Raw genomic sequence first — 22,099 nt, 5'->3', positions numbered from 1 at the left:
TAATATATCAGAATCTCACATATTTTCAAAAACCCAGAAAAAAGGATTTTGAATTTTTACAACACAAAGAAATTATAAATGTTTGAGGTGATTGATATACTAATTACCCTGATTTGATCATTACACATTGTAGACACATACTGAAATATCACTGTGTTCCATAAATATATACAACTATTGGCTGGGCATGGTGGCTCATGCCTATAATCCCAGTACTTTGGGAGGCTGAGGTGGGTGGATCATTTGAGGTCAGGAATTCGAGATCAGCCTGGCAAACACGGTTAAACCCCGTCTCTACTAAAAATACAAAAAATAGCCAGGCGTGTTTTTGGGTGCCTGTAGTCCCAGCTACTTGGGAGGCTGAGGCAGGAGAATCGCTTGAACCTGGGAGGCAGAGGTTGCAGTGAGCCAAGATCGCACCACTGCACTCCAGCATGGGCAACAGAGTGAGACTCTGTCTCAAAAAAAAAAAAAAAAAAAAAAAAGGAAAAAAATAAAAATATAATTATGTGTCAACTAAAAATAAAAGTTTCAAAAATTTAAAAAAAAACTTTCATTGATGTGCTCCTATCAAGTATTACCTTGAAGAATGAAAGAATTGATAACCTCCTTCAAAAGGACATGCCAATTTTTAAAACCTTTTAATTTTTATTTGCTCATGAAAAGTCTTTCAAATGTAAGATGCATATCAAAAAAAAAAAGTACATCTGAGCTGCTGGCCCCATTATAGATTTGGTCATGAAAATAATTTAATTGTAGAGTTTGAAAAACAGGATTACTGGTATCCTAATGGTACTGAAATTTGGAGAATTGGTCTATCTGATTGTTGCCTGTTGTGTATCCTTGTTAAGGCTTTAAAGAGAAAAAATCGGAACAGGAACCCATGATTTTTTATATTATGCATTACTGAAAAAAACAAAACTTTTCAGATGTTGTAAAAGTTATGGATGAGTCTGGATATTGTTCTCTGTACCTGATGAGGTGACCATCACAGGTCCTTGGAATGAGGTCAGTGAGATATGTGTGCATAGGTAATGAAATTATATGTATTACACATATTTTTGTGTCTTATAAATGAAGAAACTTTACTTTCCCAGGGTCACACAGCTCCCAAAGAGTTGCCCACCTCAAGATCTGACTCAGAACTGGTATTTTTTCTGTTTGGTTCAACCAAAGGTTTTTTGATTACTATGTGCCACACACTATGTTAGGCACTGTAGATAGATAAGAAGATGAATAAGGCATGGCTGTCAACCTGAAGGAGGTTATAGTGTAAAAGAAGATATAGTGATAAGTATTCTGATAGAGCTGGTACTCTCTCTTATACCAATGTTAAGGGAATGCTTTTAGCTTAGTACAATTGTTTAAGAAAGCCTCAGAGACAAACCCCCACTTGAAAGATGAATGAGTAAAATAACTTACAAAAGAGGCATATTCTGCTTCTCTCTGAGGCCTCCACAGAAGTGATATATACTTTATATGATTCCAAGTTGTAATCATTAGTGTTTCATATATTTAGGGATGGCAATATATAGTAGAACATGTAGTTTGGTTATTTTCTAAAGATGTTTTGAATAAAGTCCTTCCTTCCCTGCCAACCTTACCACTGCTATAGGAATATTGGGTAAAATGCCCATTGTACGGGGTCACTTGTTTTTTTTCCAGGCCACCCAGAAAGAAGTTTACCAAGGCAGCTCTAAAGAGCTTCTTAGACCAAGTCCCTTTAAGAAAACCAAGTATCATCGGGGAGAGGCCCTTGGAAAATTTTAAACTGCCTCTGTAAACTTTGACTTGGGAGGATAACTCTTTTTATTTTTTTTTAAAGTACTTCTTGCAGAGCAGGGCTACCCCATAAGCGGTATGCCCAGAGTAGCCGAAGGTAACTCTTGACTGCTCCCTCTCTGGGCAAATCCTCACTGCTACTCTGCCCTCTGGTCTGCTTTTGCCATTTTGTTAGCACTATTGGTCAATCACATGTTCATCTGTTCCTCTGTATCCTGACTTGAGATCTACTCTCAATTTTCCCTGTCCTGCTTGTCTGGTTCTTGCCTGGTTCTGATCTGCCAAGGCCTCAGATTTCAGTCTCTGACCTGCTGACCTGGACAGTTCATGCCCAACCTCCTGGGTGACAGACACAGCCAGCCTGTCTACCAACACCACCCCAACTTGGCAGCCTCTACCTTTGCAGCTAGTCCCAGGCCAGAGCATTGGATTGCATGGTGATGATGACTCTTTTCACCTTTCTACAACACACATGTATAGGTGGGGCACACCAGCATCTTAGGAGGAGAGGAAAGGCCAAGACTAGAAAGAGAAAGAAAAGAAGAGACACCTTCTAGGGAAGGTCTGGAATGGAGTAAAGGGGATCCTCTATGTTTAAACACAGCCCTCAAATTCAATCCTTCAGTAAATGTTTGAGTGTCTTCAGTGTGTCAGACGTTGTGCTGGGTAATAGGAGCATAAGATGAATAAGGAAGCTATTTGGAATTGCAAAAAACTATTGATTGAGAATTAAGCACTTTTACAGAATGTTTTTATCCCTCTGTTATACTTGTCACATAATTTTATGGTAGGTAAGGAAGTTTTCATGGACTAATCTCTTGGTATTATCCTAAGTGAGCTTCTAAGATTATTGTACCCAAAATATTGTTTATAGATTGAAGTTGAGTTACTGGCATGTGAATTTAGTCAATGACTAGGTCTTATGTTTACTGACTGTATCAAAACAGAAGGAATGATTTCCTATGCTTGGCAAATACTCTTATATTCTAGAAATGAGACTGTCAGGAAAATGATGAAGTTTGCCAAACATTGCTTTCAATTTGTTAAAAAAGAGACTGTTGATGTTTTGGGAGTCTTTACCCTCAGTGTGACCTGGTCATTAGAAAACATTGGTCCCAGTGGGATAGCAAAGAGAAAATCTTTTTTTAAAGACGAAGTCTCACTCTGTTGCCCAGGCTGGAGCGCAGTGGCATCATCTCGGCTCACTGCAACCTCCGCCTCTGGGGTTCAAGCAATTCTCCTGCCTCAGCCTTCTGAGTAGCTGGGTCTACAGGTGCCCGCCACCACGTTCGGCTAATTTTTGTATTTTTAGTAGAGATGAGGTTTCACCATAATTGGCCAGGCTGGTCTCGAACTCCTGACCTTGTGATCCGCCTGCCTCAGCCTCCCAAAGTGCTGGGATTATAGGCGTGAGCCACTGCGCCCGGCCGCAAAATGAAAATCTTCTAAGGGCCAAGCAGGGGAATATGTTGGGGTGATGGTCAGGTGGTGAATACAAGAGTGAGATCTTTACAATAGTATTATATCAGATATTATTTTAAAACCACCACAACAATAATGCTGTGCTGGCCAAATGAGAGGATGGCAGAATTTATTAATAGCACTCACCGTCTGGATGTTATCCTGGATACCAGGCTACCCTCTTGGGGAAATTGATTGGGAGAACTGATATATACAAAAAAAGGCAACAGAAAATGGTGCTATTAACAATGATCACCAAAATGTAGTCAGTACTTAGTGTGTGAAATTCTCCTCTTATCCTTTTCTTTAGAATTAGAAACGGCCAATGACACGTTCAACATTTATTCTAAAAAAATAAAATAAGCATGTGTTATATAGGTCATTCATCTACAGATTGATGAACATTGATTTGGACATGTCTTTAGGGACAAAAACAGAAACAAACAAAAAAATCCAGGCTATTAATTTCTTGTATTACCTGAAGAAAAAGTTTGAGTTAACCACATAAAATCTCCATTCCATATTTGTAGTCTCAAAGATAGGGTCTGGGCAGCAAGTCAAAGCAATGCTCTGGAAACATTGTGAGTAGCTAGAACAACTCTTGAGTTCTTACTAAGTATGGACAACATAGTATATACTACTGGGAAAAATCTCACTAGAGCTTATTTAAAACATAATTGTTTGATGATACGTAATTCAACTCAGAATCAGATATGAATCAAATCAGAATCAGGTATGGTGAGGGATAATAAATGGAAAAGAAAAACTCATTGTAGCAGCAAGAAAAGCTTGGCAAAATCAACTCCTCTAAAGGACAAAATTGTTTCTTGATTATAGAGATTTTGTTATTTAGCAAGTATTATTTCTCTTATCTGTTATCTTTTCATAATTCTGTTTCAGGGTCTAATGGCTATTGATTGTCCACATACTGGCATTGTGGACTATCGGCAGGTGGCTTTGTCATTTGCCCAGGATTTCCAAGAAGCAGGTGGCTCTGTCTTGACCAATTTTGAAGTAAAAGGTATTGAAATGGCTAAAGAAAGTCCTTCAAGAAGTATAGATGGTAAGCCATCCTTGTCTTTTCTATTGAATATAGTCAGCCCTCCATATCCATGGGTTTTGCATCTGTGGTTTTAACCAACTGAGGATGAAAAATATTTGGGAAAAAAAACAATAAAAAATAATAGTAGAATAATACATAATACAAATAAAAAAGATAGTATAACAAAAAAATAGCATTTACATTGCATTCGGTGTTATAAGTAATCTAGAAATTATCTAAAATATCCAGCGTATGTGCATAGGTTATGTGCAAATGTTATATGCATTTTATATGAGGGACTTAAGTATCCTTGAATTTTGGTATTTGTGGGGTTCCTGGAACCAATCCTCCTTGGATACTAAGGAACAGCTGTACTTATATTGATTTTTTTTTTAATTGGGATATTTTAGGGGGTAGTGCTGGTGGGAGGGCCACATGGAGCTAGGCTAGAGTATGGTGCAGAACCAGAGGTAGGTACAGAAGGTGCAGACTGAATGTGAGAGAACTGGGACTCCTGGAGGGTCTTGTGCTGGTAGAACCAGGCGGTGGTCCGACACTTCTGACTGGTGCTAAAATCTGAACTGCCAAGGCTGTTTATGGAAAATTTGTCTCCAAACACTTCCCTACCCTGTAGATTACAGTCAGAATCTCTTGACAATGCTTGTTAAAAATGCATTTTTTTTTTCCCCTTGGGGCAGGGTCTTGCTCTGTTGCCTAGGCTGGAGTGCAGTGGCACAATCCCGGCTCACTGTAACCTTCACCTCCCAGGCTCAAGTGATCCTCCCACCTGAGCCGCCCAAGTAGCTGAAACTATAGGTGCTTGCCACCACACCCAGCTAATTTTTGTATTTTTCTTTTTTTTTTTAATTTTAATTTTTATAGAGACAAGGTCTCACTGTGTTGCCCAGGCTGGTATCGAACTCCCGAGCTCAAGTGATTTTCCCTCCTTGGCCTCCCAAAGTGCTAGGATTACAGGTGTGAGCCACCGTGCCCGTCCCAATTTTTGTATTTTTTGTAGAGATGGGGTTCCACCATGTTCCTTATGCTGCTCTCGAACTCCTGGACTCAAGTGATCTGCCCACTTGACCTCCCAAAGTGCTAGAATTACGGGCGTGAGCCACTGTGCCTGGCCAATAGCTAACATTTATTAAGCACTTGGTCCTTTCCAAGTATTAACTCATTTGACTTTTACAATTCTCCGTGGCAGGGTACCATTATTACTCACATTTTTTTAGGGTGAGAAAACAGGCACAGAGAGAGTAAGAAACTTGGCCATGGTTGTACAAGTAGTGAGTGGTGGGGTTTGGATTTCAACTCATAGACTGTACCTAAAGCCCACATAGTTAATTACTGAACTATACTGGACCCACACTATGTTCCCCACAAGCTGAATAACGAGCAAGAATTTCAGATTAACAAAGATGTCAGGTGGAAAGCTTCATTGGTTTAATGAAGACAGAAGAGTTCCAGAAATTGGTGGTTAGAATGAAGGAAAAAGACTGGCTATGAAGCACAACAGGAAGGTGGAAGCTAAGAGGCTGGACTAGGAAAGTAGGACACCAAGGTAATTGCAGAGGGGAGGTCTAGGAAAGGGTTTCTTAATCCTGACACTATTGATATTGGGGCCAGATCGTTCTTTGTCGTAGGGGGCTATCCGGTGCACTGTAGGATGTTTTGTAGTATCCCTGGCTTCTGTCCACTAGATGCCGGTACCATCACGCCCCCAAGTGATGACAATTAAAAATGTCTCTAGGCTAGGTGCAGTGGCTCACACCTGTAATCCCAGCACTTTGGGAGGCCGAGGCGGGCGGATCATGAGGTCAAGAGATAGAGACCATCCTAGCCAACATGGTGAAACCCCATCTCTACTAAAAATACAAAAACTTAGCTGGGCATGGTGGCTCACGCCTGTAGTCCCAGCTACTCAGGAGGCTGAGGCAGGAGAATAGCTTGAACCCGGGAGGTGGAGGTTACGGTGAGCTGAGATCATGCCACTGCACTCCAGCCTGGGTGACAGAGCGAGACTCCGTCACACACACACACAAAAAAAATAAAAAGTATCTCTAAATGTTGGCAAATGTTCTCTTAGAGTTGGGGGTGAAGGAATCACTCCTGGTTAAGAACCATTGCTCCAGACTTACAATTAGACTAGTTTGAACAACCAGGAATAGAGATAAACCAGTAGACTGAAAAAAGGACAAAGAACCATGAACTGAAGAATTTTGAAAGTTCCTATAAAACCAGAATTTTATAACTATGAATGATAATTTATTTTTATTTTATTTATTTTATTTTTTTTGAGATGGAGTTTCACTCTTGTTGCCCCGGCTGGGGTGCAGTGGCATAATCTTGGCTCACTGCAAACTCTGCCTCCTGGGTTTAGGTGATTCTCCTGCCTCAGCCTCCCAAGTAACTGGGATTACAAACATGTGCCACCCCATCTGGCTAATTTTGTATTTTTAGTAGAGACGTGGTTTCACCGTGTTGGCCAGGCTGGTCTTAAACGCTTAACCTCAGGTGATCTTCCTGCCTCAGCCTCCCAAAGTGCTGGGATTACAGGAGCGAGCTACTGCACCCAGCTTGAATGACAATTTATTATACTGCTGGAAAGGAGAGAAAAAAATTTTCATGACATGACATCTCCTTTTTGGCTTGTCTATATATATCAACATGTAAATTAGTCTTCCAGTGTGCTAGACTTTACCACTCCTAAGGAACACATACCATTCTGGAGAATTTTTTTTTTCCTTTTTCTCTCCCTTAGAAGTCTGGACAGCAAATCTAATTGTGAAGTTAAAATTTGCACAAGTACTTTGAGAGGCCAAGGAAGGAGGATCACTTGAGGCCAGGAGTTTAAGACCAGCCTGGGCAACATAGCGAGACCCTGCCTCTACAAAAAATTTTTAAACGTTCACTGGGCATGGTAGCACACACCTGTACTTCCAGCTACTTAGGAGGCTGAGGCAGGAGGATTGCTTGAGCACAGGAGTTTGAGGCTGCAGTGAGCTATAATTGCATCACTGCACTGCAGCCAGGCCGACACAGTGAGACCTTGTCTCAAAAAAATTTTTTTTTTAGGGCTGGGCGCAGTGGCTCGCGCCTGTAATCCGAGCACTTTGGGAGGCCAAGGTGGGTGGAGCGCTTGAGCTCAGGAGTTCAAGACCAGCCTGGGCAACATCGCGAGACCCCATCTTTACTAAACATAAAAATTTTTTTTTAATTAAATAAAATAATTTTTTCTTAATTTGCAAAATCCTATGGGACTCAGATGTACAGCTTACCGGTATAACTATTCAGGTTCTGTATCTCTAAATGGCAAACGTAGTCAGTAGGAAAATTGGCAAACCTGGTGTCTATGTGAAGAGTACAGGACTGAACTGATCCTTTTTATTGATAGCTGTAAATATGTCTATATAAAGCAGTGACCTGGGAGGCGCGTTGGCTCACGCCTGTAATCCCACACTTTGGGAAGCCAAGGCAGGCGGATCACCTGAGGTCAGGAGTTCCAGACCAGCTTGGCCAACATGGTAAAACCCATCTCCACTAAAAATACAAAAATTAGCCGGGTGTGGTGATACGTGCCTGTAATCCCAGCTACTCAGGAGGCTGAGGCAGGAGAATTGCTGGAATCCGGTGGGCAGAGGCTGTAGTGAGCTGATATTGCACCAGCGCACTGCACTCCAGCCTGGGCAACAGAGTGAGACTCTGTCTCAAAAAAAAAAAAAAGCAGTGACCCATGTGGCTCAGTCTTAGAGAGGTGTCAGGGTCACGAAGGAGTAATTTCAAAAGAACTCTTTTGCTTGTATATTTCTTTTTTTTTTTTTTTTCTTTTGAGACGGAGTCTCACCCTATTGCCCAGGCTGGAGTGCAATGGCACGATCTTGGCTCACTCCAATCTCTGCCTCTCAGGTTCAAGCAATTCCCCTGCCTCAGCCTCCTGAGTAGCTGGGATTACAGGCATGCACCACCATGCCCAGCTAATTTTGTATTTTTGGTAGAGATGGGATTTCATCATGTTGGTCAGGCTGGTCTCAAACTCCTGACCTCAGGTGATCCACCCACTTCGGCCTCCCAAAGTTCTGGGGTTACAGGCGTAAGCCACCATGCTCAGCCTGCTTGTATGTTTCAAGAACCATGAAAGGGATCGAAGCAATCTTTTTAAATATGCTTTTTCCTCTTTACTTTCTTCCTTCTTTTTTTTTTTTTAAATAATAAAAAGAGTTGAGGTCTCACTATGTTGTCCATGCTTGTCTTGAACCCCTAAGCTCAAACAACCTGCCCACCTTGGCCTCCCAAAATGCTGGGATTACAGGCATGAGCCACTGTGCTTGGCCCAAAATGCAAATGTTAGCATCACCCATACTTACTGAATCAGACTGTCTGGAAATAGCACCTAGTAATAAGCCTTTAGTGATTCTTAGACACATCCAAGTTTTAGAATGTCAGAATGACAGCCTAAGGTCATAAAATGACCTGGCCATTTGGAACTCCCCCCACCTCATGCCCAGCCCCCACAGTTTAAGAGTTCACTTAGAGTTTGTTTTGTTTTGCTTTGAGGGCATTAATTTTTTTTGTCCAAATGATAGATTTGTGAGCCTTCTATTTGCTGTTGAGAAATTTGAAGGAGAAAAAAAGTAGTGTTCTGTTCTTTCTTCCTTGACAGGTTTTTAAGGAGATCTAAGCCATCTGAATCATTCTGTCTTTCTGAATTCTAAGATGATGAGCAAAATTGTTAAATAATTAAGGTTGTTTTAGGTAGGTAGCATAATAAACCAAATTTGTGATACAAGTAGATTGTATTTATCTGCTCTACATACGCTTTATAAAACTTTGAGATCCCATGTATCTGAGTGGGAACTAATTTTAAAAATGGTCAATTTTTTATTAGAAGTTTTTGTGTTGTGAGAACTCTTGCTTTTCTAAACAACATAGAACCTGCAAGGAATCCAGTAACCAACACTTGGATGACAAGGTTTCTCATATCATAGCTTTAGTCTGTGGGAAAATACATACTGATTTATGATTATCCATTTTACATTGCGGTTTCCAGGATTATAGTTCAGAGAATAGCTATGTCTATATTGGAGGTCAGGTGGCATATGGTTTATAAGCATAGATTAGGTGAATTAAAATCAAGCTAAAAACATGCTGGAGTTTTATATGTTGTTAAGTATGAACTAGTTTAATTGTTATTTGGTAAAAAGTTTCAGAATGAACTGTAAGGTGCAATCATAGTAATGACAGAAAAAGGTTATTTAAGTTTGTTTCTAGTATGATATTTCAAATAATGTTGGCCTTTTGCTAAAAATAAATTTTTCACTTATTCTTTTTTTTCAGGAATGCAATATCCAATTGTTATAAAGAATACAAAGGTAAAGATTCTTAAGCAAAACTGCTGGCTACTTTCTTTCCCTCCCCTTTATTAAAAATTAAATTAACCCACAGGGCTGTATTTTAAGTTATTGAATGACATTTGTCTAATGTAATTCTGAGAGAATTTCTTTTAGGGAAGTTTAACAGCTTTTATTCTAAGGAGGGTTTCAACTTGGGAATGTCCTAATTAAGTGGCTCTGCTGGCAAAGAACAGGATTATAAGCATATGGAGTGTTTAATTTTAAGGCAAAACTAATATTTTATCACTCTATCTACTGATCTCCACTAACTTATTAACTCTCTATAAATCAGAAGACTTCGGAAGAGGGAGTATGCAGGTTGTCCAGAGGGAGATGGACTGCTTTTATTCATCTTCACATGGACCTAAAGCAAGAACCACTGAATGGCATAGAAGCAGTGGATTCCCTGTAGGTTCGCTGCATCAAGTTGTACTCAAGGGAGCAGAGTCATTAATGAGTGCTATAGGATTTATTATAGGAATAAGACCTTACACAATTGTGGAAGTTTCTGGGAAAGCATAGATTCAGAAGAGAGTTGATGGATCAGTAATTGGGAAACAGAGCTGAATGCGGAGCTGGAATTCACTGGACAGTGGGTATCTGTCTGTCACCTCATTGGACTAGGATGACCTTCAGAGAATAATACCTGCTGATTTACTTCTGCCACCAGATTATTATTATTATTATTATTATTATTATTATTATTATTATTATTATTATTATTTTGAGACGGAGTCTCACTGTGTCGCCCAGGCTGGAGTCCATTGGTGCAGTCTTGGCTCACTGCAAGCTCCGCCTCTCGGGTGCACACCATTCTCCTGCCTCAGCCTCCCGAGTAGCTGGGACAGGCGCCCGCCACCACACCTGGCTAATTTTTTTGTATTTTTAGTAGAGACGGGGTTTCACCATGTTAACCAGGATGGTCTCGATCTCCTGACCTCATGATCCACCCGCCTCGGCCTCCCAAAGTGCTGGGATTACAGGTGTGAGCTACCACGCCTGGCCCTCTGCCACCAGATTATATGCATCTCCTGTTTTGACCAAGTTTAAGTTGGAACCATGAAGAGAAGGGGATTCTGTCAAGCATAGTTCCTAGCTTAACCAAATGGACTCAGTACAAACCCCTACAGTCCACCCTTTGTCAACCTGACATCTGTCCACGCCCCTTATAACCTTATAACGATATTTAGCTTCCAAATAAAGACAGAAGTAAAAGTATGCTTCCACCTAACAAGGTGTAACTGTCCTTCATAGGACTGAAGACATGCTAACTAACTCTCAAAAAAAAAAACAAAAAAAAAACAGTCTACTTTATCCATCCTGGATTATGTTTAATTTCTACTAGCTGAGTTACACTCCCCCTTTGAGATCCTGTCACTTAAATACCAAGATATAAGGTTAACCACTATTTAAGCATTTTATATTAGATTAGTAGTTCTCAACTAGAGGCAATTTTACTCCTCGGGGAACATTTGGCAATGTTTAGAGACATTTTTGATTGTCACAACTGGGATGGGGGAGGGACACAGCTACTGGGATTTGGTGGGTAGATACCAGGAATGTTGCTAAACATCCTTCAGTGTGGGGAATAGGCCTCCAAAACAAAGAAATGTCTAGCCCCCAAAGTCAGTAGTACTGAGGTTGAGAAACCCTGTGTTAGATAATGTGGGAATGGTAGAGATGAGTGTATTAGTCTTCTCAGACTTCCATAACAAAATAGCACAAACTGGGTGGCCTAAAAAGCCCACAGTTCTGGAGGCTAAAAGTCCAAGATTAAGGTGCTGGTAGGGTTGACTTTTGGCTTGTTAATGGCTGCCTTCTTACTATGTCCTCACATGACCTCTTGTCTGTGTGTGCCGGAAAAGAGAGCGCATGATCTTGGGTGTCTCTTCCTTTTATAAGGACACCAGTCCTATTGGATTAGCCCCTACCCTTATGACCTCATTTAACCTTAGTTACCTCCCTAAAGGCCCTGTTTCCATATACAGTTCACATTAAGGGTTGGGACTTCAACATATGAATTGGGGTGGGGGGGGCACAATTCAATCTATAGCAATGGGAATAAAAAAAGAATTAGGTAATGTATGGAGAAATGTATTATTTTAAAGTAAAGAAGATATACTCAGATGATAACATCCCTCATTTCTGTGACTAGTCATGTGGCCATAGCCAATATTTATAATTTCCTTCCCCTACTATGCATTTCATATTCTCTTTGCCTTTGGCAAGCATCTCAGCTGGTCATGGTTTCTAGTTTGGTGGTGTAGCTCAAACTTTCATTCCTGAAGTCTGTGCCGTTAGCAGCCCTGGCTGTTTTGGGTCGAGGTAGTTTCCAGTAACTTTTATAACAGTACATGGGAATACTAAGAGAAGCTTCAGGAGATGTGTATTCCAGGCATATTCCTCTTTATCATCCCCAAGCCTAGTTGTGGTAGCAACTCATTTTCTTGAGAGTCAGGATTAGTTATCCAATTCAGTATAGCAGTCCCCTCTTTGATTTACTGGCAGGGGAACCCAAAGTGGCCAGGTGTTGCAGTATCAACCTCCAGTTTAATGGAACCACTGTCATTCTCTAATGGAAGTACTTCTCCCTTGGGAACTAAGACCTCTAGATCATAATAGCGAAGTTGTGGGGATAGAATGCAAAAATTTCATGTAGTAGATGATTGAGGTAATAGTAAGGAACCACTCTCATTTCTACCTCAATTTCCAGACTTGTGAATTCTGGCTGTGGGAGAAACAATACCATATATTAGTCACTGATTTAGAGCACATGGAGCATCCTGGAGGACATTGCCCCAGCCCTGCAAGGAGTTGCCAGCCAGCTAGTGCTATTACTTCTAAAGCCCATTCCAGTTTCTGTCACCCAGTGGCTTCAGGGTGATGGGGAAAATGGTAAAATCAGTGAATTCCATGAGCCTGAGCCTATAGCTGCATTTCATTTGCTGCAGAATAAGTTCACTGATCAGAAGTAATGCTTCTCTGTAAAATACCATGATGGTGAATAAGACATCTCATAAGTTCACACATGGTGGCTTTGGCAGAAGCATTATAGGCAGGGAAGACAAATTTATATTCAGAGCAAGTGCCTATGCCAGTGAGAAGTAAGTGCTACCTTTTCTATGATGGAAGTGGTCCAGGGACCACATCAGTGGCTCTGTTGCTATCTACTATTGGCAGATTGAGCACTCAGCATTAGCTGTAGACAGATCAGCCTTGGTGAGTAAGTCCATGTCGCTGATCACCTCCATCCTTGCTACCATAACTATGTTTTCCAGTTCTATGTTTACATTGTGAAATGATTATCACAATCAAGTTATTTGATATCATATCTGCCACCTCACATAGTTACCATTTATGTGTATGTGATGAGAACACTTAGATTTGTTATCTTAGCAAATTTCAAGTATACCATACAGTATTATTACCTGTAGTCACCATGCTGTATATTAGATTTCTAGAACTTATTCATCCTATAATTGAAAGTTTGTACCCTTTGACTGCTATCATCCCATTCCTGCCCACCCCCCTCCCAGTCTGTAGCAACCATCATTGTACTCTCTTTTTCTATGAGTTCAACTTTTTTAGATCTCACATGTAAGTGAGATCATACAGTATTTGTCTTTCACTGTCTGGCTTATTTCACTTAGCACAGTATCTTCCATGCCCACCCATGTTGTCACAAATGGCAGAATTTTGTCCTTTTTATGGCTGAATAATATTGCATTGTGTATATATATCACATTTTCTTTATCCATTCATCTGTCAATGGACACTTAACGTTGTTCTCATGTCTTGGCTGTTGTGAATAATGCTGCAATGAACATGAAAATGCAGATATCTCCTTGAGGTACTGATTTTGTTTTCTTTGGGTATATACCCAGAGGAAATCATATGGTAGTTCTATTTTTAATTTGGATCATATGGTAGTTCTATTTTTAATTTTTTGAGAAACGTCCTTACTGTTTCCTGTGATGGCTGTCCAATTTACATTCCCATCAATAGGGCATTCTACATCCTCACCAATGCTTGTTTTCTTTTGTCTTTTTGATAATAGCCATCCTAATAGATGTGAGATGATATCTTATTGTGGTTTTGATTTTCCTGATGATTAGTGATTTGAACACCTTTACATATATCAGTTGGCTATGTGTATATCTTTGAAAAAATACATAAAAATACATATTCAGGTCCTTGGCCCCCCCACTCCCCTTTTTTTTTTTTGAGACAGGGTCTCTGTCACCCAGGCTGAAGTCCAGTGGCATGATCATGGCTCACTGCAGCCTCAAACTCCTGGGCTCAAGCTGTCCTCTTACCTCAGCCTCCCAGGTAGCTGGTATTACAGGCACGTGCTGCCATGCCCGGCTTCTTTGCCCATTTTTATTTATTTATTTTATCTTATTTTATTTATTTATTTTTTGAGATGGGGTTTCACTCTTGTTGCCCAGGCTGGAGTGCAATAGCGCGATCTCGGCTCACCTCAACCTCTGCCTCCTGGGTTCAAGCGATTCTCCTGGCTCACCCTCCTGAGTAGCTGGGATTACAGGCATGTGCCACCATGCCCAGCTAATTTTGTATTTTTAGTAGAGATGGGGTTTCTACATGTTGGTCGGGCTGGTTTTGAACTCCGACCTCAGGTGATCTACCCGCCTTGGCTCCCAAAGTGCGGGGATTACAGGCGTGAGCCCCTGTGCCCGGCCTTTCTTTGCTCATTTTTTAATCGGCTCATTTGTTCTTTTGCTATTGAATTATATGAGTTTCTTACATTTTTTGGATATTAACCTGTTATCAGATATATGGTTTGCAAATATTTTCTCCAATTCTGTAGGTTGTCTCTTTATTGTCATTTCTTTTGCTGTGCAGAAGCTTTTTAGTTTGATATAGTCCCACTTGTTTATTTTTGCTTTTGTTGCCTGTGCTTTTGGTGCCTTATATATTAAAAAAAAAATTGCTGAGACCAATGTCTTCCCTGTGTTTTCTTCCAGGAGTCTTAGTTTTCAATCTAAAATCTTTAATCTTTTAATCTAAATATTTAATCCAGTTCAAGTTAATTTTTGTGAATGGTGTAAAAAAGGAGTCCAATTTCATTCTTTTGCATGGGGCTATCCAGTTTTCCCAGCACCATTTATGGAGACTATCTTTACACCTAATCATGTAGTTCATGATGCCGTCAGGTAAAGACAGGGGTGCCTGGAGAAAGAGGCTAACTAACATCCACAGGGCAGGTCATCTTTTTCTAATGATTATTAAAATTGTCCTTGGCCAAGATTTCTCTTCAGTGAGCATTCATATGGAGCTTGAATATCTTTACTCTCTGAAACTGTTTTGGAGTGGTCCATTCATATACCTTTCTCCAGAGGTCCTTTCCCTGTCCATCTAGCCAAACCATTAGTTGTTGCACATGAAACAGTGTAGATCCATATCTTTGGCCATCAGTCCTTCTAAAGTAAGATGAACAGCTAGGTGTGATGTTCAGAGGTCTGCCCACTGAGAATATTTTCTGCACCACAGTCCTTCAGGGCCACTCATGAGTGGGGCTCTGGTGCTGTGGCTGTTCAGTTGTGTGTGGTACCAGAATATTGTGCAGAACCATTTCTAAACCTGGCCTATATTTTTTCTTCTTTGGTCAACTGGTCATAGAGAACTCCCCATGGGTCTATAGAGGCAGGTTGATAGGAAGGAGGCAATTTAGCAGGAGTAGGGGCCATGGGAATTTGAACCACTTGCCTCTTCAACTTACGTGTGCCAGCAGGACCTGTACAACCCTTATCTTACAATTTTTCTTAATGATGGAATGCTGCTATATACACCCAATTTTGTGGCTTGATGAGTCAGACAACACCACCCAGTTAATAATGGGTAGCTCATATGGTAAACTTAGTGACCTGTGGTCAAGTGTTCAGTCAAAGCCAGAAGCACTTTCTCAAAAGGAGGTTAGTTATCTGCAGAGGATGATATAACTTTCCTCCAAAAACCCTAAAGTTCTGTGCTGTGATTTGCCTACAGGTGCCTTCCAAAGGCTCCATAAAGCATGACTATCTGCTGTAGACCCTTCGATTACCATCAGATTTGCCGGGTCATGTGACCCAGGTGGCAGGCTTTCCATTCAAAGAAGAATTGAAAATCTGTTTCTGTGCCTGCCCTCATCTAAGGGACATTTTCACTAGAGTATAGCATCATATGATAGAATATATACAGGGGCCTATGGCATACCAGTGGATATATACTTTGTACCCAGAGTTGCCATTCTTTATTTTGGCATTTTCAGTAAGTATAATTTTGGGTTCACATTCAAATTGGGGGGTCCACTTACCAGGTTGAAATAGTTTTATGAAAAGTTTAAAGAAATTTTTTCTTTTTGAGACAGTCTCACTCTGTTACCCAGGCTGAAGTGCAGAGGCACGATCTTGGCTCACTGTAACCTCTGCCTCCCAGATTCAAGTGATTGTTGTGCCTCAGCCACATGAGTAGCTGGGATTACAGGTGTGTCTCACCACGCCTGGTTAATTTTTGTATTTTTAGTAGAGACAGGGTTTCACCATGTTGTCCAGGCTAGTCTTGAACTCCTGGCCTCAAGTGATTCACCCACTTCAGCCTCCCAGAGTGCTGGGATTACAGGTGTGAGCCACTGCGCCTGGCCAGGGATTTTTAAAATAAATTTTTGCAGGTAGGATTTGCTAATTAAAGGTTTATACATTGGATATGGGGAGGGGGGAATCTGCTTCACTTATGAAAGAGCAACAGACATGCATGGTTTATTTCTTTGTCTTCTTTTTATTTATTTATTTTTTTAATTGGGGACTTTATCTCTAATAAAACATAGGGAGACAAGGTCTCCCTGTGTTGCCCAGGCTGGTCTTGAACTCCTGGGCTCAAGTGATCCTCCCACTTTGGCCTCCCAAAGTGTTGGGACTACAGGCGTGAGCCACCGTGCCAAGCCTAAAAGAAATTTTTGTTGAACTAATGTATCATTTGATGGTTACCTAAATTTTAATTTGGAGGTAAAATTAATATGTTACTGAATTTAATTATTGTTTCACATATAGCATAAAATGATTTCAGAGACCTGTGATAGTTTTTGATAATTTCTTTCTTGGGAACTGTTGCTTGAGTTTTGAAAGAGAACTATTAGGTTATTGCATGCTGGTACCATTTTATAAATTCTATTATTATCTTTACATCTATCATAGGACTTATCTGCATTTTTTTTGTTCCAAGAACGAAAGAACTGCCAATCTTTTGTGTAGGAGCTGATGATTTATATCACAAAAATACTTCTCATATTTCTAGAATATAACTCTAGATGAACAGGAAAGATATTAACCTATTTAGAAGAAGTTATTTTTGGCTGGGTGCGGTGGCTCACGCCTATAGTCCCAGCTGTTCGTTTAGGCAGGAGAATTACTTGAACCCAGGAGGTTGAGGCTGTAGTGAGCCAGGACTGCGCCATCGCACTCCAGCCTGGGTAATGGAGCAAGATCTTGACAGCCCTTTTGACTTCAAAGGTCTTAAAACAGTCATGGCTTAGTCTAGCTAATTTGAATTCATTATGGAGAAGTTGCATCTAATTTTTGTAAAAACTATGACATGTATAACTCCTGAAAAGAGGCTTAACTTTCTAGCAAGGGCAAAAATAGGATACATATAGAGGTGAAAATTTAGCTCAATAGAGTAAGGCTAAACAGTAAGGCCTGGCCGGGCGCGGTGGCTCACGCCTGTAATCCCAGCACTTTGGGAGGCCGAGGCGGGTGGATCACGAGGTCAGGAGATCGAGACCATCCTGGCTAACACGGTGAAACCCCGTCTCTACTAAAAATACAAAAAATTAGCCGGGCGTGGTGGCGGGCGCCTGTAGTTCCGGCTACTCGGAAGGCTGAGGCAGGAGAATGGCGTGAACCCAAGAGGTGGAGCTTGCAGTGAGCCGAGATCGCTGCCACTGCACTCCAGCCTGGGCAACAGAGTGAGGCTCCGTCTCAAAACAACAACAACAACAACAACAACAACAAAACAGTAAGGCCTGGAAAGAAAGAAAATGTTGAGACAGGTGAGAACTCTGAGGCTTCAAAAATAGGTCATCTGGGAAGAAGATCTAAGAATAAGAACAGAATTGCTAGGTGTTTACTCTGTAAGAAGTAAAGAGATGGGAATTCAAGTGTGGTGGTGAATGCGGGATAAATGAAGTCATTTAGGAAATAGGGTGACAAATTGGCTAAACTTAGTGAGTAAAGTTAAAAATAAGCAGATGATAATCACAAAATAAAATTTATAGGAAATCATAACAGCCTAACATTAGCAGTCTAAAGCTGGTCACTAAAGCAAACGTTGAACGTAGTGTGTGCTCTCATTAAATGTGCATTGAATGAATGAGATTTCTAAAGTGTCCTCAGTTTGCAAAGTAGATATTGATTAGGAAGGAGAAATTGCTTGGTGGGTAGGTTACAGTTGCAACTGGGCAGGATTATTGAGTGTGAAGCAACCGAAGAGTAACACGGTAATTGCTCAGATACAGGAGAAGCTGGTTGCAATACAGAGTTTGCCTTTAAATGAGAGGGTTACAGGCCCTTCGACTTCAGTGCCAGAGATGTTATGGATATAATTATCAATAGGTAATAACTTTAATTTTAAAATGATTTTATGTGCTTATATTTTTAATGTAGGAAGTTTTGTCTTTCTTGATATTCTGCTGATTGGGTAAATCCTCATATTTGTGATTGGTATATTGAATTTTTAATTAATCCAAATTAAAAGCTGTGGGGTGGGTGGGGGAGCAAAAAAAATTGGTGGAGGCTGTCTAAATGACATTTGCTTCCTCATGCAGCAAATAGTTAAGAAGCTCCCTGCTAGGTCCTAATAAACAGATTTGTATGTATTTGTATGTATGTATTTGTGTGCATGCATGTATACCTTACTAAGTATCCTTGCTAGGTTGACCATTATTATCTTTACAGTACAAAATTTAAGGTGACATCCTCTTACATGCCACTATCCTAAGTTTCTAGCTGCCACCTAAATGCTAAAGAACATATTTTGCTGATACCTGTATTGAATATCCTCTTTTAGAAAAAATTCTATTTCTGTACCTTTTTTTCTTTTCTATCACCTGTTTTTCCCCTCTTGACCTATTCTACTCCACTTTATACAAATAACTGTTCTTTTATTTTGCACTAGGGAGAGGAAATTCGATGTCAGTATGTTGTGACATGTGCAGGACTTTACTCAGACCGTATTTCAGAGTTGAGTGGCTGCACTCCTGATCCTCGAATTGTACCATTCCGGGGAGATTACCTGCTTTTGAAGCCAGAAAAATGTTATCTTGTAAAAGGAAATATTTATCCGGTAGGTAATGATGCTTCCTACTTCTCATTTTTTTCAAGCAGGTGGTGGTCATAAAGGAGATGAAAACAACTTTCACTTGGGTCAGAAATAAGAGAAATTTTGAAGGACCGTTTTTGTAAGCATTTCATCGGTTTCTCTTGTGGTTAAATCCCTAAATCTTTATCCCTGTATCATGGTTATTAAATTGTAATTAATTGCCTGCAGGTACATGTCTCCAGAAAGCATGAGTGCACTCTGGGAAGTGCTATCAAGAAGGAACTGAATTCTACCTTCTCTCTGGTGGAGGGAAAGGGAAAACTTTCCCTTATGGAAGTCCCTGATACCCAACCCTTTTCCTCAGTTCACTATCTGTAGGTACAGAAAAGGGATGTGGCCACTCTGTAGTTTCAGGGAGTAGAAGACAGAGGTATTTAAATGAGGAGTTCATTCTTCTGTCTGGAACTACCCTGGAAATGAATGAATCTCTTAAAATATATTAGGTCGAACCAGATGAAATAGTCAGTATTCGGCTATTTGATATTTTTGAGCTTGCCGAAACATGAATTTCATCTGCTTCAACCTCATGTATTTGTACTTTGCAGAAGCCTGTGCTATGAATGTGTATTTTTTTCTGGCAGCTCTGATTTTACTTGCCAGTCATAGACATCCCTTGTGAAAGACCGAGAATAGCCTGAAGTAAGACAGTTCATCTTTTTTTTTTCCTTTACCCAGAAAGATGCATAGATGGAACAATCTATTAGTGTCAGTAGCATCAGAGTTTCTTTTTTTTTTTTTTTTTTTTCCTGAGACAGATTCTCACTCTGTTGCCCAGGCTGGAGTGCAGTGGCATGATCTTGGCTTATTGCAACCTCCATCTCCTGGGTTTAAGTGATTCTCATGCCTCAGCCTCCCAAGTAGCTGGGATCACAGGTGCACACCACCACGCCAGGCTAATTTTTGTATTTTTAGTAGAGATGGGGTTTCACCATGTTGGCCAGGCTGGTTTTGAACTCCAGATCTCAAATGATCCTCACGCCTCAGCCTCCCAAAGTGTTGAGATTACAGGCGTGAGCCACCACACCCAGCCAGCATCAGGGTTTCTTGTGTGCATTTCTAAGCAGAAGCATGTTAATGGAAAAGTATATCTGAGTACAGCTCACAATACAAATTAAATGCATGAGAAGAAAGTGTTTTATGTTACCAATTGAATGTTTGCATCTCTGATAACATGGAATGTGAAATGAGGCTGTTATTTACTATGTTAAATTTATAGGTCCCAGATAGCCGGTTTCCTTTCCTAGGAGTTCACTTCACACCAAGGATGGATGGCAGTATTTGGCTAGGGCCTAATGCAGTTCTTGCCTTTAAACGAGAGGGTTACAGACCCTTTGACTTCAGTGCCACAGATGTTATGGATATAATTATCAATAGGTAACATTATTTATTTTTAAAAATGATTTTATGTGCTTATATTTTCAATGTGGGAAGTTTTGTCTTTCTTGATACTCTACTTATTGGGTAAATCCCCATATTTGTGATTGGTATATTGAATGTTGTATTAATCCAAATTAAAAGCTTTGGAGTGGATGGGGTAGCAAACAAACAAACAAACAAACAAAAAAAAAAATGCCTTTTGGAATAAGTATAACATTTTAACTACTTCAAGAAAATTCTGTTGAGCTGGGGTTAAAAAGAAAAGGCTGGCTGGGCGCAGTGGCTCATGCCTGTAATCCCAGCACTCTGGGAGGCCGAGGCAGGTGGATCATGAGGTCAGGAGATCAAGACCATCCTGGCTAACACGATGAAGCCCCATCTCTACTAAAAATACAAAAAATTAGCTAGGCGTGGTGGCTGGCACCTGTAGTCCCAGCTACTTGGGAGGCTGAGGCAGGAGAATGGCATGAACCCGGGAGGCAGAGCTTGCAGTGAGCTGAGATCGCTGCCACTGCACTCCAGCCTGGGCGACAGAGCAAGACTCCATCTCAAAAAATGAATAAATAAATAAATAAATAAATAAATAAATAAATAAATAAATAAAAATAAAAAGAAGATAAGGCCAAGAGTTATTCATATATCTGGCAATCCAAATCTTGTATTGCTAAGTTTCCAGTTTTATTTGGTGGGGGAGGAAATAGATTCTCTCAAAATCAGTAGATGGCTATTTTAATAAAATCATTTTGAGCCAGTCTCCATCATTTTGTAAGCCACTGGAGAAATTACTGATGACCAAAGTAATTTCCTTGTGTAGGAAACTAACAATACGATTGTGTTGACCTAAGATGCAGATTCTTTACTATTGTAAGAAATACTGAATTAGGTATTTTGTTTGGTCCTTTTACCAATGTTTCTCTCTAAAGGGTTTCACATGAAAATCACTAGATTTTCCTGTTTAAATCACTAGATTTAAAGCTATACTTGAGTTTCACCCTCTATGGATTCTGAAACAGAAAGTTTAGGATGGAGCTTCCTGGCACATGTAGTTGTAAAAATATATACATATGTGCATCTAGGCTTTGCAGAGTCTCACTTGAAAATCACAACTAAAGTTTTTTTGGTTTTTTGTTTTGTAATTTTGAGACAAGGTCTCACTTTGTCCTCACTGCAGCCTCAACCTCCTGGGATCAATCAGTTCTCCCACTTCAGCCTCCAAGTAGCTGGAACTACAGGCAGATGCTACCATGCCCAGATAATTTTTGTGTTTTCTGTAGAGACAGGGTTTCGCCATGTTACACAGCCTGGTCTCGAACTCCTGGGCTCAAGCAATCCACCTGCCTTGGCCTCCCAAAGTGCTGGGATTACAGGCATGAGCCACTACACCCTGCCTAAACAACTAAAGTATTTTACCTCTGGCTGACTAAAGAAATCTAGGGTAGATGTCCCATTTCTTTCATACCCTGCCTTTTAGGTGTGTTGAAGGCATCTAATATTTCCATTAGAAAGCCTTGATGTTGGCAGGCTTTATAGAGTTCCAGTTTGAAACCAGCACTCCTTGGGAATTTGAGTTTAGAGGGTGTTTACCTCTGTATTTTTTTTTTTTTTTGAGTCAAAGTTTCACTGTTGCCCAGGCTGAAATGCAGTGGCACAATCATTGGTTACTGCAGCCTCA

The 22,099-nt window shown here is 40.4% G+C and overlaps 1 protein-coding gene across 13 annotated transcripts in view; it reads left to right on the top strand.

Moving 5' to 3' along the window:
• L2HGDH (L-2-hydroxyglutarate dehydrogenase) overlaps positions 1-22,099 on the top strand; it is a 69,796-nt gene that overhangs the window by 24,053 nt on the left and 23,644 nt on the right. For 9 of the 13 annotated variants that reach the window (NM_001425212.1, NM_024884.3, NM_001425218.1 and 6 more), the window contains 4 exons: positions 4,144-4,306; positions 9,623-9,657; positions 18,847-19,014; positions 20,267-20,424. In NM_001425212.1, the coding sequence (NP_001412141.1) occupies positions 4,144-4,306; positions 9,623-9,657; positions 18,847-19,014; positions 20,267-20,424 (524 nt within the window). Of the gene's footprint in view, positions 1-851; positions 1,009-4,143; positions 4,307-8,948; positions 9,041-9,622; positions 9,730-18,846; positions 19,015-20,266; positions 20,425-22,099 lie in introns of those variants that run through there. The other 4 variants (NM_001425217.1, XM_011537168.4, XR_007064047.1 and 1 more) reach the window with 4 other exon arrangements.

The sequence above is a fragment of the Homo sapiens genome, chromosome 14, assembly GCF_000001405.40.
Source record: "Homo sapiens chromosome 14, GRCh38.p14 Primary Assembly".
NCBI lineage: Eukaryota > Metazoa > Chordata > Mammalia > Primates > Hominidae > Homo > Homo sapiens.
This window is presented reverse-complemented; position numbering and strand designations above follow the sequence as displayed.